Raw genomic sequence first — 15,466 nt, 5'->3', positions numbered from 1 at the left:
GTTTAATGAGCAAGTCTTGTAAATTCTTCTTTCTAAAGAGCATTTCTTGCAATTGGCTTGAATCATCTCAAGTTAAGTCCTGCTGATGATGAGGACTTCCGTGCACAAATGGTCAGCAAATTATCTTTTCACACAAAGGACAAACTATTGTGCATGAAGAACTCCATGCTTCAGGATACCTATAGTGAAGCTATCTACATCATCATGTACAAGTGGTACTTTGCATTGGATTTATTAACTCAGCAAAATCTACGCATACTCTATTAACTAGCTATAAGTGAGCTTTAATAAACATATGCAATAAAAATCTTGATTATTGCTCATGTTATACATTTATTAAACTCTGTTATAAACTCCAAAAGTAAAAATGTCATACTATTACATAAAGGCTGAATTTGGATTTACTTTTCATCCAAGAATAATGCCACTCAGATGTTTTAAAAAACAGATCACAGTAAATAATTAGTATTGAACACTACTTTTTTTAATTTAGTAACATGAATAAAAATAACTTTGGAAGAAACTGGAAGTTTAGGAATGTTATTAGTTTATTACTGCTAGTTTAAACACTGGAAGATTAAACCAATATAGCTGAATGATTTGTCTATAACAGTGTAATTAAATACCCCATTAGGTGCAGTTGAAGCACTCAGTATTTATGGATGGAGAAAACTGTACAAGTTATCACTTTTTATCTCTCTTTCCATTTGAATAATCCTATAAGTTCCCTTTTACTAACTGATTGACAGTTTGAAAATTACTTTATCTCTCTGCATTCATTTTCTCATCTGTTAAATTAGAGGAAGGATACTTTCTTCCTCCTGGGTTTGTGAGGATTAAATGAGATGATTCATGAAAACAGCTTAATCCAGAATCTAGCCTATAAAAAGCACTAAATAACTGTTAGCCATTTTTAAGACAGTTAACACAAAAGAACTTGAAACAAATTAATAAGTCAATAATCTACAAATTAACAAGTCAATAATCTCATTAAAAATTTTAAAAATTATAAATCTCTACTCCAGCAATGTGACTGGAAGAACAACTCTCTGAGATTTACATTTTTGAAAAACATAGTTTAGGCAAGAAGCAATTCTAAGAATGCATCAATGTTTAAGGGAGGAGATTTCTAACTTTCCATGACTGATTTGACTAAAGTCACAGGATCACGTCACAATGTTGGATATTAACCCATAGCTTTGATAATAGAATTCTAAAAACATGTTTATCTTCCTGGTCTAGAACACCTCAAATAGCATACTTTCTAAAGAATGTACCATTTTTTTCAATGACCCAATGTTGAGCCATTTCACTGAACATAGCTTATTATAGATTAGTTAACTATATCGATAGCCACTTTTTAAATTTCCCAAACTTTAAGCAGTTTTTTTTCTGGTTGAATATTTCTTTGAGCCAAGCAAATTAAACCTTTGCAGCTTCAAATGGAATAGCTAAGTGCTGATAATATTAACTGCATAATTTCAGAGTCAATTTTATGTTGTACATGCCAAAGATGTTCAACCAAGAAATTAAATAGTAATTAGAATTTATCTTCCAGTTACAATCTAAAAGTGATCATTCTTTAAATGTGCTAGATTGTGTCTCGCAGGTTTTTATAATGGAAATTCTCACATTACAAAACTATCATTTTAATAGGTGTGCTTGGTACATTATGCATTGGGCCTGGAAGTTATTTATTTAGAGAGAATTATATTAATACTAAAATCATTTACATGCCAAGTGATTATTACTCAGGAAAGGTTTTATTTGCAATGAATTATTTTTTTTTAATATGGGAAATCAAGAAAAACTTACTAGTGCAATAAATTTCTAGTAAAAGTAGGTAGAAATTTCTAAGAAAATGTAGGCTGATTTTCAGGAATAGGGTCATAGAAGTACTTCTCCATAATGTACTAGTAAATGTAGATTAGTGCCTTATTTTGAATTACTTCATAAATAGTATAAGAGTACTTGTTCAATGAGTTATTGTTAAGACTAGGAGAACACTCTTCTCTGTATAATATACAACCGTGTTTAACTTGAAATATCAATTTGGCAAGGTAATTGAAGTATACATGGCAAGAGCAATTTTTAATGTGTTTACCTATTATATTTGGGAGAATTGTTGGGAGAACTATGTGATTTGTTAGCAAAAGAGATTGTGAACAATTGCACCTAAAACAAATGGTCTTTTACCAAAGGATTACATTTAGAAATGAAAACATTGTGTAAATTAAATTGCCTAAAAGAGTAAGGTGTAAGCTTGCTCTATATCTTACTAAAATTTGTACAAATGAATCACATGCGAGTTACTATTTTTCCCCATGAGACCCACAGAGACTCTGGTCTCTTTGCACCTGCCTACATCCTTTTCAACTTGAAGTTGAAGCAGCACAAGACCCTCATCAAATGGTCTGTGCAATCTTGGACTTCCCTGCCTCCAGAATCATGAGCCAAATAAACTTCTTTTTAAAAATAAATTACCCAGTCTGAGCTATTCTGTTATAGCAACACAAAAATGGACGAAGACAGCTACATACACAGATTTTATCCATAACTCTGAGAAGGAATTTGGCTGGGATTAAAAAAAAATTGAATGCACACCATGTGGTTACATGCCTTCTAACACAAAAAGTGGAACAAAGTTAGAAGATTCTGTTTGATGTTTTTAATTAGGTGAACTTGCTGATAGTTTTCTGTGTTTAGAGTTTTTCTCAAGATATTATTGAACACTACTCCACAATAGAAATTGATGATATGAAAACATTTTTGCTTCATAATGCATAAGAATTTGTGAAGATCAGCAACAGCTACTTTGATCTACCAGCATATAATAGTTGTTAAATCGGATCAATGAAACTTCCATTTACTTCAGTACCTTAAATAAAAGAAATCTTTTGATCAGAATTACCTTAGAAATGCTATTTCTGGCAATCCAATTTACACTTCCAGAGTACCTGCCACTCAGGTTTGGAAGGAGGACCTGCTTATTTCTTGGGTGCTGGCTTTGGTTCATTCCTGCCCTGTGACCTTGGGCAAGTCATTTGATCCAATGCTCAGCTTTTTCATCTGTAAAGTAAGAATAACAATTCCAAAAATAATACAGTGTCGAGCTGCGCTACCTTCACTAAATGTTGGCAGTTAATTTTGTATCCTCTTGAACATGTACTTCAAGCTCCCAGTCATGGTCATCCAGGCATCAATTTTTTGATGACTTCATTCCAAAACCTCAATTCTACAGATGTTCCTCCAATATTTCCGTCCCCTTGTTATTCAGTCAAACATGAATCAAGGTATTGTTGTGAAAGGACTTTGCAAACAGAATTAAGGTTACTAATCTGCTGACCTTAAAACAAGGGATTATTCCACATAGTTCCATGCCTTGTAACAAAAAAAAAGTGGAACAAAGTTAGATTAGTTAACACTCTACTTGAGCAATACTCTTCTTTATCTGGGTGGGAATCACACGAGCCCTTGAAAGCAGAAAAGGAAGGCAGATGAGATGCGGCAGAAGGGGAGGCCGAGTGATAGGAAACCCTCCATTGCTGGCTTTGAAGATGAGATGGTCATGGGCCAGGGAATGTGGGCCGCCTCTAGCAGTTGAGAGCTCCCCACTGCTGCCAACCAGCCAGGAAATGGAGACCTCAGTCCTGCAACCATTAGAACTGATTTCTATCAACACCTGGGATGAGCCTAGAAGTGGATTCTTCCTCAGAAGCTCTACAGGGAACACAGGGCAACTGACACTTTGATCCCCTTATTAGATTCTAATCATATTACATAGCTGAGTCTGCTGGATTTCTGATCTGCAGAACTGTGAGATAATATGTGGGTGTTGTCCTAAGCGGCTAAATTTGTGACAATAGAAAACCAATACACTCTCCCTCCATCCACCCATTCAGCAAATATTTATTAATCTCAGGAAGTGCTAAGAACAATTGCTGAGCTGTTGATAAAGCAGTGAAAAAAAAGACAAAAGTCCCTGCCTTCATGGAATTTACATTTAGTAACAATACCTACATTAAAACAAACAACAAACAAACAAACAAACCCTAGCTTTCAGCTCATTGCTGTTGGATCTCACAGGACTATTAAGATTAGAACAAGACTAGACCTATTAGGCAGTCCTCATGATGGGAAATGCAACAGGTGATGTATCATCCTCCCTGACCATATGTCATACACATTTGGGTGGACTCGCAAATCTAGTTGGTAGGTAGCTTCAGGACAAATGGTCTCTAATGCGCTTTGGTTGGGTTTATAAGCAAGATATACATATCATCACGTGGTCCTTAGCAAAGATTTAGCAAAAATCATATACATTGCAGCTCCTAGCAAAGATTTGGAAAAAAAATACTCTTAGAAATTTCAGGAGAGACCTGATGGACAGTATTTGGAGGTAGCCCAGAGAGGGAGACTCTCCTTGGGATCTTCCCAGGATGCAAAGCATGTTAGTAGCACTGATGAAGCTGACATTCCTACTCTTCTGCAGGAGGGTTATGTTGATGGTGGAAAATCTGAGATTGGATTGCAGTTCTTCACTGTTTCATTAGCTAAGAGAGAGCATTAAGCCTAAACAGCACTCTTTTTGCCATTTAGCAACCTCAATAAGTCTGCCATCAGTGCTGGATTTTACTGTTCCAAACTGTACCCTGACCTCAGAGTCAGGTTATTAAAGAGAGGAGTAGAAGGTAAGGATATATGGTTAGAAGGAACATAAAGTTTGCAGGATGGTGTCCATGTGTGGCAAGGTTCCCATCCTTTTCTAGACCTGCTTGTTTCCCGACGGTAGTGAAAACCTCCTTCACCCCTCAGGCCTTCCGTGGCTGTACACATTGATTCAGGTTCACCGGGCGAGGCTCTGGGGAAGTCTTTGAGGGATTTGGTAAATTGAAAATGACTGTGTGGCCGCATAGTGTCTGTTTTTAAAGGATTTTTTAGGAAGCTTTGCTGCGCTGGCACATAGTAAGCACTCAACTTTTTTTGTTTTGTTTTGTTTAAATGAATCAGTGAAGGATGTATTATGTGGTTCTCTCTTTGGCATTCCCCCCGAAAAAAGACTTTCATAAAAACCACATTGCTCTCTAATGCTTTTGGAGGTAGCCTGGTGCATTAGTCTTTGTGTAGGCAGCGCAACCAGGCTTACGGTGAGAGCAGGAAGGCCTCATGTTCCACACCGCCAGTGGCTAGCTCAGCAGGTACACGAAGAAAGGTGAATGTGTGGGTTGTTTTTTAAGCAGGTTTTTACAGGCCCGACATCACACTCCTTCTCCTCACTCCATGGTTGTCTATGGTCCTAACAGAAATTCTTCTAGAAATTTTAGTTGGTCATCAAAAAAATAGAAAAGGTACTGATTCTCTTTGAATATCATTATCCTACACTCACAGCTTGTAAGAAACTTTGGAAGGACAAAATATGCTTCCAGAAAGAACAACATCTAAGACATTTGGTTAGGTGATTGTTTATCATATTTATAATAAATAAAGACTCATACAAACATATGTAACATTCAGTGATTTCTGTTAGAAAAACTATGAACTCCTCAAAACCCGATGTACACAAATAAATATCCAACTAGCATGCAGGTCAAACACAAAGCTTAAAATAGTGGGAAAATTACCAGGCAATAATCCTGTCATTATGGCCCAATTACATCTTGTTTTTTAAATTCCAGTATTGTATCATTAGTTTTTTAGTTTGTGACAAAGATACTTTCAAGAAATGAACTTAAGATGAAATGTAGGGTTTTTTGGGGGGCGGGGGCAGAGGCAGAGTTGTAATTGGTATGCAAAATCTAAATTAAAAGTCACTGAATGGAGAATGATTTTTAATTTCATTGTATGACCGCCTCAAAATGAATATAAATATGCTCACTAAAGCTCATATTAAAGTACTGTACTTAAGAGCAAAAAAAGTAAATTGATCTTCGAGGGCTCTGAACAGAACTTGGTCATAATTACGTTGCCATCTTTACCTTTCTTCTTTATTACTTGGAACATTAATTCAAGATGTACATGAGAATATAATACAGAAAGCAGGCAAGCAAGAAAATATCAATAATATTTGCAGTTTTTCTAGAGAATATGTCCATTGCATTTTTCAACTCCACATTTATTGATGGTTAAGCTTCTTCTGAGCCATTTATATTCCATTCTGTCAAAGTAAAAATTACAGATTTTTAAGAAAGGCAATAAAATGGAAAGCTGATTTCATACTAAGAGGAACATTTCTCCAACAGTTTCCTATTTGGAGAAAGCAAACCACAGGTGTGGCAGGGAGCTGACACGAGGGTCCCTCGACCTGGGTGAGCTGTGGGCCCAGGCAGGTGTGGGGGCCACCGCCAGCAGAACTGCTTAAAGAGTCGCGGGGAACTGGCCACGCGCTGGGGGGACAGCGGGACGTGCCTTGGTGTCCTTGGAGGGCGCGGTGGCTGTGCTCTGCTCCTGACCTGGCAGCTGGAACCCTCTCGAGCAGCCTGAAGGTGTCCCCAGGGGCTGGCCGCGCGACGCCTGGGCCTTCCCTGCGGTGCAGAATGGAAAGGCCGAGGCAGCAGGGCTGGAGTCCGGGCAGCACGCCGGGCGATCAGTGCACGGCATGGGAGTGGGTTTCTCACGGTGAGCGTGCACGGGTGGGGGCATTTTTGACCCTGCGTGATGGGAATCTAGAAGGGCCCAGGGATCCCAGCACGAGAGGCTGAGGCGAATGCAGCTGCAGGGCCGTGGAGGCTGGACACAGGTCCCTGCAGGGGAGGCCGTGGTGGGTTCGGGCCGAGCCGTAGCCGCCTCCACCTGGCTGTCCTCGGCTCCTGGGGCAGCCCAGGAGTCCAGGCAGCCACGGCTCCTGTGTCACTCCCGCCCTCCTGACCTCAGCGGCGGGGAATTCCTACACAGAGGCAGGGAGAGGCGAGGCGACACAGCCCGTCCCTCTGCGAGCTCCTAGCCCGGAGCCCGTCCGCGCTGGGCGGGGAGAGAAGGTCTGAGAGTGAAGCAAGCTGAGCGTTCCCATCAGTCTCTAGAAGAGCACGTGCGACTCAAGGAGCCTGGGAACTCAGGGGAGGGCAGAACAATTTACTCACCCTCACTACCCACCCCTGCGAGGGGTTCCGCAGTGGCACGGAAAGGCTCCTCCATCCAGTCAAGCTTAGCTTTTGTCTCTCACCCCCTTTAAACGGACCTTTTAACGATGGCATGAATAGTGGTATTCAGCATAACAATTACACTTGGTGACATTCTTACTTTCTCTGCAATGTCCACAAAGAGACCTTTAAAAAGTCATTAGTTGGTGCTCATGGAAGATTTGCATATAAAGGAAAATCAGAATGAACTCTCAATTATCAGCAAATCCAGAATAGGTGATATTTTAGGGGACTTAAAAACTACAAATTATGAGCTGACTGAATAGAGAAGCCTCCTTAAATTAAAGCTTTAGAAATTGCTATTTGCTTTCTTGCTCAGATTAAGTAAAACTTTCTGTTGCATAAATAGAAAAGAACGCTATTTTCTCTTGGGCGAATATGTGCATGCCTGCTCACTTGGGGCCCATTTTGAGCGTTTAAATACATTAAAGCATATTATACAGATTTCTCTAGGCAGATCTGTAAGGCCTTAGCTGAATTGGTCGCAATCTCTGATTGGGAAATGTGCCAGTTCCCAGCTAGCAGGAGGGATGTCACTGGCCAAGCACTGGAAACCAGCCACAACCCAGTCATTTTGTCTGTGGATCCCTGTTGGGGTACCTCAGAGGGGTGGAGGGGTGACAAGGTATCAGAGGCGTTTAAACCAGAGCAAATCCATCTTAAATAGAAGCTGGGTAAAATGAAGCTGGGACCCACTGGGCTGCATCCCCAGACAGTGAAGGGATTCTGAGTCACAGGATGAAATAGGAGGTTGGCACAAGACACAGGTCAGAAAGACCTTGCTGATGAAATAGGTCGCAGTAAAGAAGCCGGCCCAAACCCATCAAAACCAAGATGGCGATGAGAGTGACCTCTGGTTGTCCTCACTGCTACACTCCCACCAGGGCCATGACAGTTTACAGATGCCACAGCAACATCAGGAAGTTACCCTATATGGTCTAAAAAGGGGAGATATGAATAATCCGCCCGTTGTTTAGCATATCTTCAAGAAATAACCATAAAAATGGGCAACCAGCAGCCCTTGGGGCTGCTCTGTCTATGGAGTAGCCATTCTTTTATTCCTTTACTTTCTTAATAAACTTGCTTTCACTTTACTTTATGGACTTGCCCTGAATTCTGTCTTGCGTGAGATCCAAGAATGCTCTCTTTGGATCTGGATCAGGACCCCTTTCCTGTAACAAAAGCACACATTCCAAACATGGCTTTGAAAACAGGTCCAGCCAAAAGCCAGTTGTCCCAACTGTCACCCGGCATCTGGGCTCTCCCGCCTGGTGAGGAGGGACACAAGAAATAGGACCTCTACCCAGCAAGGCAGATTGGGAATAATCGGAGGGACGAGCCCTCTGTTCTGCTAGTGGGGGCGGAGTCAGGGGAGGTTACTGAAAGGATGGGATGTCTGAGTGTGGATATGGAGGGAAGAGCAGAGATAACTCCCAGAGTCCCTGGAATGGCAGTAGGGTGTCTCGTAGGCTGAGAAGCAGGCTTCAGATCACATGGCCTGTTCCACACACAGGCAGGGGGCATGAGTGCCAGTTCCAGCTCCATCCTGAGCTGCTGTTTCCATACTGCAGTTCCTTTTGAGGACTGAACTCTGACCTTTTACTTCTCTTGCCCAAATTCCTATCTAAGGGACCTGGGGAGTCACACCCCACAAACCATAAAATCTCATCAGAGAGGTTTCATTTAACCCTATATAACGTGGCTTACTTTCCAGCCTGACTCTAGCATAACCTCACATGACAGACAAAGTAGAAAATCAAAATATTTCACCCCAAATATCTTTCTTTGCCATATTTTGAAATGGACTGAAAAGTCATTTTAGTGGGGAGAAAGTTGTGTCTATAAAGAATCTCTATTAACATAATAGATCTTTCCCCATTCCATACCCTCCCAGTCCTGAAGAGATTTACGGAGAGTCTACATCTGCCAACTTATTTTCTCTAAGGGTACCACCTATGAGACTTCATCTACATAATAAGAAACCTGGTTTCCACAGCCCCTTATCTTGACCCTGACACTCTTTTCTGTTGATTCCAGGTGTTTAGACAATAACTTAACTCTTTCAACCAATTGCCAATCAGGAACTCTTTGAACCCACTATGACCTGTAAACCACCGCCCTTCTGAACCAAACCAATGTATACCCCACACATATCGATTGATGTCTTATGTCTCCCTAAAAGATATAAAAACCAAGCTGTAACTCAACCACCTTAGGCACATGTTCTCAGGACCTCCTGAGACTGTGCCCTGGGTCATGGTCACCCATATTTGGCTCAGAATAAGCCTCTTTAAATATTTTACAGAGTGTGACTCTTTTTGTCGACACCTTTCATCACCGTTTCAGAAGCAATGAATGGGATTCTCTTACACAAGCCATTCTTGATATACCACATTTGCCACTGGTCCAGAAACAATGGGGATGTGCCTGGGTCATGAACCTATCTGCAACTCTGTATCCTCCTGGCAGTCTGATCCCTTCAGGTAAAGTTGGATAAGTGGGGACAGTGGTAAAGCCAGATGCTGGTGAAATGGGGATGTCCAGAGGAAACTTGGCCACAACAACTTGGAAAGATTTATACAGAGAAACCACAAATATAAGGGCCAATCGAAAACAGAACACAGTGGAAAGAGGTTGGGATTTCACTAGTTCACTGGGGCAGGCCAGTGAACCTGCTGATGCAGCCCTATGCGTAGGTCACTACTCAGCCCTTCTTTGCAATGATGTGAGAGGGCCAAGGAAGGAACTAAACTGTCTTCGGGGGAAGGGAGAGCTGAGCAGTGAAAGTTTGTCTGGGTTGGAATATTTGCAATTAGGAATTAGTAGCATCTAGAAAATGAACTTTGCATTGCATTTCTGACTGCTGACATATGGGAAAGGTATTGATTCTTGAATATTTATTTCATATGTAATCATCTTAGATGTTAATTATGATATTAACTTAAAAAGATTTCACTTAATTTTCTTGGAAGGACCATATAAAGCCACATGTATTTGGTTCTCTCCATAAACCCTGTGCTGCAGGTAGGAGACATTTACCTAACACGCTAGTTTCAAAGCACTTACCCTCGATTCCACAATTCATTCCCCTCCTTCTCTCCAAGTAGAACTCCTGAAAAATGACCTTCTTATAGTTCTCTGCAAGTCAATGAGCTGCTTTAATCCTCCCAGTAACTTGGTTTTTAAATTATGGAGACTAAGGCACGGAGTTGTTACATGACCCGTCAAAAGCCACAGCCGGCAAACAGTTTGAACCCAGAAGAACTGCAGCCGGAGCCTTTGCGCCTCAGTGCTGTGCTCGGCAGCTGCATGCTTTGTCCCATTTCTTGTTTCTCCACAAATTATCCCATCTGCCCAAGCATCTTCCCCTGCTTGTCCACCAGGTGACCCACATTTATTGGTACAAACCCCTTTAGGCAGAGTGGCCTGAGCCTCCTGCCCAGCTGGTTTGGGCCGGGACAGGCCCAGGTGAACCAGCCTCACCGTGGCCAGGTCCCTCGAGACTGGGCTGGTGCGGCAGCACCCTGGGGTGCTGCTATGGGATCCCCAGGGCAGCATCCAGAGCTGTTGGAAGTGTGAGCTTCCATCTCTGGTTAGTTTGCAGCATTACCGAAGAAGAAGAGAAACATCAATTCCCTGCATCTCCCCTACTCAAAACTTATCCAGGCCCAGTTTCTTTCTTAACTAAACAAACCCTTCCTGCTGAAAGGAAAAGGCATGACATTTTTGTTGTTGAAAGAGGGAGTTTTCATTAGTCCGTGCAGAGCAGGCTCAGTAACACTAGTTACAGCAATGTGAAGGAGTGAAACGAACACAAAACCTCTACCTTTATTTATCAAAGATGAGATTTTCTCCCCACAGGCTGTAGGAAAGAGGTATATCATCTGGACTGGATTGAATAGTGTCTCCCCCAAATTCCTGTCTTTTCCAGAACTTTAGGATGTGGCCTTACTTGGAAATAGGGTCATTGCCAATGAAAGTAGTTAAGATAAAGTAATATTGGAGTATTGGAGTAGGGTGGGCCCTTAATCCAATCCTTATGAGGGCTGGTATTCTCATAGGAAGAGAAGAGACACAGACAGACGCACAGGAAAAAAGGCCACATGAAGATGGGGCGGGACTGGAGTGATGCGTCATCCACAAGCCAAGGAGCTCAAGGACGGCTGGCACCTCCGGAAGCTAGAAGCAGCAGGAAGGAGGCTTCCCCGGAGCCTGCAGTGAGAGCTGGCCCTGTCCACACCTTGATCTTTAACTCGTAGCCTCCAGAACTGGGAGACGATACATTTCTGTTGTTTAAGCCATTCTGTGTATGGTAATTTGTTACGTGGCTCCAGGAAGCTAAGACACAGCCTTCAGAGCTGGATTCTGATTTCTTTAGACATCGCCCTACCAGGTTACAGACAACTCAGAATAATCCTTCCCTCCGGGCAGGCGCAACCAGGGAGGTCTACAGAGAAGAGCACATAGAGACGTAATTTACAGTTTGTGACTGACCCCACTCCCCTGATGCTTTTTATAAGTGGATTTGGGTTGAAAATAGACTCAAATGTAGCAGTCTCAGTGAAGAGGAAAGGCATTTAACCTCATAAGCATGTGTAGGTTTCACCATGGTAAAGAGGTCTTTATGGGCTGACCACGCGTGGGGGCATCAGGTGAGGGAGGGAGGCCTGAGCCCTTCCCAGGACCATCTGCTGTCCTGGGCTGCCCTCTCACTTAGATCGCTGCACAACCATCTGTTTCTGTAGAAATGAGTCCTCCCTCCCCATCCTCAAAGATTTTCCAGGCTTTGGGAGCTCTGCTTATAGAGAATGCTTGGAAGAAGTAGGGATATTGCACTTGGAGAAGTGAATACCGAGGGGGAAGGAAAGTTTTCTATAATTTCCCGAGGGCTTGCTATATGTGGAAAAGGATTAACCATTGTGCTGTGTAGTTTAGATGAGAGAGGTGAACCAGATGGAAATGTTAGGTGTAAATTTCCTTTCAAAACAGGAGCTGCCTTTCTCTTTGGAAGTAGAACAGCTACCCCATGAAGTAGTGAGGCTGCTTGGACAAGACGGAATAAATAAGTACTGGTTGCGTAGGCTGAGTTAGTGAACTAATTTCACACAAGCACATATTAGGCACCTGATTCTACTAGGTGTGCCAAGCTCTATATAAGAAAAGGAAAGACCAACACAAACATTTTGCCTTCGTGGAAGTAATGGTTGATTAGTTTGGTAAATTGGAGATACTCTTAGACCAAAGGACCCCTACACGGATCTTCCAACTTTATAATCCCAGGATTCTCTGCAGACAAATGAGTTAAGTGTGCATGGAGGAAGTGCTCAGAGAGACTAGATATATGCATGACAATTCCAAATCTAACTTTCAGAAATGTGGGGGGCAGTAGTTCTAATAATTTCCTCAAGGAATTTAGGATAATCTCATGGTTCAAATTTAACACATTTAACCATTTCAAAGGGACTTCGAAGTAAATTTCTAAAATGTAAATCATGAACGCAGAATTGTTCAGAATTCCATGGGGGATGAACCTGAATTCCAAAATTAAATGTAAATCTCTGTGAGGAGAAATAACATTTACATACATCAACTTTGGGACAGAAAAACTGAAGGTTTTGTTGCTGCTGTTGTTGTTTGGTAATCCATTCCCAGAAGTTCATCAACGTTTGAAAAGAGCATGAGAATTGGTCCCAGAGAATTCACACGAATATCAAGGAGGGTTATCAAGGAGGGTTTGAATCAGGTTGACTTACAAGGCCTAGGTTCTCCTTAGAAGTTGTTTTAAAAGATGATCAACATAAAATAATTACTTCTATTTCTTAGAAGCCGTTTAAATTACAGGTCAAAGACCTGGTACAAACATCCTAAAATTTTGCAAACTTCAGGCATCCTCATTCCCCATATGTTTTAATGTGCCTGCATCTGAATTAAAATTTTAAGTCTCTTTAATGAACTTTTTATTAGTCTATAATGGTAAACATCTTAGATAAAGCCAAGCAATTTGATTCCTACAAACGTGGGGACAGGATATTTCATTATTATGTTTACTTTTGCATATTTCATGACATAAATTTACAACATTATCAGAGTCTCTGATATCTGGAGTCTGAAATCTTTTAGGTAGGGATTGTTTCAGAACTATTGGTACTGTTAGAAATGAACCAAAATATGGTAAACAGGCCTGTCGGAGAGCCCTAATCTGCTGGCGGAGCCCATATTCCAGCTGTAAAAGCTTTAATGCCATTTATTGGCTCATGCTCCTCAAATGTAATACTCTGCATCATTAATTTGGTAGTTTCATCTCTGAAAGCTATAAATTGAAGATTCCTATTGTTTTAATTTTCTGTAACCTTTAATAACATTTGTGAAAGAACATAGGAAAGAATAAATTGCTATTGGCTGTATGACAAATGCATCCAAGGAATATTTTGTAGGAACTCCCCTTTCTTTCCCCTCAAAGCAGTCACTGGAAAGACAGCATGTTTTACGTCCAAAATTCACTGTTTAGAATGCAGGCAAATAAGCTCAAAAGCTTAGACAGCAGTTTGGTTTTTTCAAAGAGGACCGTGGCCCAGGCTTTCCTTGTCTGTGCTGGAAAGAGGTTTCTCCTTTGTAAATACGATGCTCCCTAAACTCCAGTCACATATTCAAGCTGAGAGATTATGCCAGGAAAGGATGGATTTGAAAACCTGTTACCAGTGAATGAATCTGAGTCTTTCACTTATTTGGCCACTCGCCCTGCATTTGGCAATTAGAGCCAAAATGAACCATTTGAAGCAAAGGCACTGATGCAGCTGGTGAGACCGGGAGGCCACATGCCACTCACAGGCTCACAGAGGGCCAAGCGACAGGTCACCCAACGAGAGAGCGCTATGGGTCACACACAACACTTTCAGTTGCCTGGTTGTGTTGTTACATAATAATTCATAGAGCATGATATTCTTCTATAATATATACTATTGTATGTATATAATATTGGATATGTATATAATGTTGTGTAATCATAATGGCTCTCTCATTAATACCCGGTCATGGACAGGCTCCATGTGAAGGTGCCCTGAACACCTTGTCTCTAATTATGCCCACCCTAATGAAAAGTTGTTACGATGCATATCTTGTGTAGACAGAAAAATTGATGATTACAGACTTTAAGGGATTTGCCTGAGGTCACAGCTTTTCTGGCTCCAAAATGTTACTGTTTAGTCTACACTACCATTCACATCTCAGATTTATCTGTTCTTGTTTTAACTATAGCCTAATTAAACTCTGTGAAAAATATTATGAACACACAAGAGGATACAGCCACTTTCTCTGCTAGAACAAGAATGATCTAGTGGGGCTGGCTCTAAGTTTTCATTGCTCTGATCGTGTAGATGGGGCCTGAATTGGTGCTGTGAGCATGGACTGTTCCTCCCTCCCCTACTTGATTTCCAACTGGTCCTTGAAAAGACTGGAAGCCTGGGCTCCTCACATGGGCCACTGTCCCAATGTCTAGCTCCCTGGCTCTGCAACCCCCACTGCTTATTTCAGAGGAAGTTCATGTGACATTAAAACAGGAGACATTGTAAAAACTTCAGGCAGTAGAACTAATCTAATGTTTGCGCTTTGAGGGGATGCTGACAGACAGGTCATTTTATTTGAAAGAATATTTTCTCTCATTCTTTTTTGTCATTTGTATCTGGTCTCATTCTAAAAAGAATTTTGTAGTGGGACTTGAAAGAAATATTTTTGAATCTGAGTTTAACAAGACATTGATTTACATAAAAGAGAAATACAAAAAAAGAGGAATACGGAAATGTGCAATTGTTCTCAAATACATTGAAATTTAGGATGAGTTTTTTCTACTGCTACATACTGTCAATTTCTAATGTAATTTTAATTGTAAATAATTATATCTGTTACTAAGGACATCTGCTTAAATAAAATAAGTATATATAATTTTGTGATGTATATCATAAAGCAGGCTTTCTTAAAATGTTATTAAAGCTAAATCATTTTCCTAGTGAAAATTCTAATGTAATTGAAAATCCTGCGATAAGCTTTTTTTTCTGAAAGAATTGGATCTAGGGTAACATAGCTACTTTAAGGAACAGTTTTAAGTTTTTATAGCTAGAATGCTCCAATTTTGTAATAGGACCCTCTGAAAATACAGCAAACTGCAGGCTGGCATTGTTGTGACAGGTTTCTAAGATAAGTAGAAAATGAAGCGGAAGATAATATTTTTCCCTACAAATGTCAGAAAAATGTTAAGCAGAAAAATAATTTAAATGTAGAATTCCTGATGCATGCATTTAGAAAGACTCCAAAAGAATTAGCTGAGTTTGGAACCA

At 40.9% G+C, this 15,466-nt stretch overlaps 1 protein-coding gene across 20 annotated transcripts in view, besides 1 other annotated feature; it reads right to left on the bottom strand.

Annotated features, from left to right (window-relative positions):
* The window catches only part of PACRG (parkin coregulated), a 588,369-nt gene that overhangs the window by 208,584 nt on the left and 364,319 nt on the right, over positions 1-15,466 (bottom strand). For 7 of the 20 annotated variants that reach the window (XM_017010277.3, XM_017010275.3, XM_017010279.3 and 4 more), the window contains 2 exons: positions 7,077-7,174; positions 6,092-6,521 (listed from right to left, as the gene is read on the bottom strand). The exons of 11 other annotated variants lie outside the window; for them this stretch is intronic. In XM_017010277.3, coding sequence (XP_016865766.1) covers positions 6,216-6,521; positions 7,077-7,174 — 404 coding nt within the window. In that variant the 3' untranslated portion in view covers positions 6,092-6,215. Of the gene's footprint in view, positions 1-5,965; positions 6,522-7,076; positions 7,175-15,466 lie in introns of those variants that run through there. 2 more of the 20 variants (XM_005266825.6, XM_017010280.3) reach the window with 2 other exon arrangements.
* Positions 6,864-7,677: an enhancer, noted in NCBI's record as "OCT4-NANOG-H3K27ac-H3K4me1 hESC enhancer chr6:163520272-163521085 (GRCh37/hg19 assembly coordinates)". NCBI's record gives its function as "activates a minimal SCP1, AML or CMV promoter by ChIP-STARR-seq in naive and primed H9 embryonic stem cells {active_cell/tissue: H9 hESC(naive and primed)}" and the evidence as "EXISTENCE:reporter gene assay evidence [ECO:0000049][PMID:30033119]".

The sequence above is a fragment of the Homo sapiens genome, chromosome 6, assembly GCF_000001405.40.
Source record: "Homo sapiens chromosome 6, GRCh38.p14 Primary Assembly".
Lineage (NCBI taxonomy): Eukaryota > Metazoa > Chordata > Mammalia > Primates > Hominidae > Homo > Homo sapiens.
Note: the sequence above shows the minus strand (reverse complement) of the source record. Positions and strands in the feature narration are given on the sequence as shown.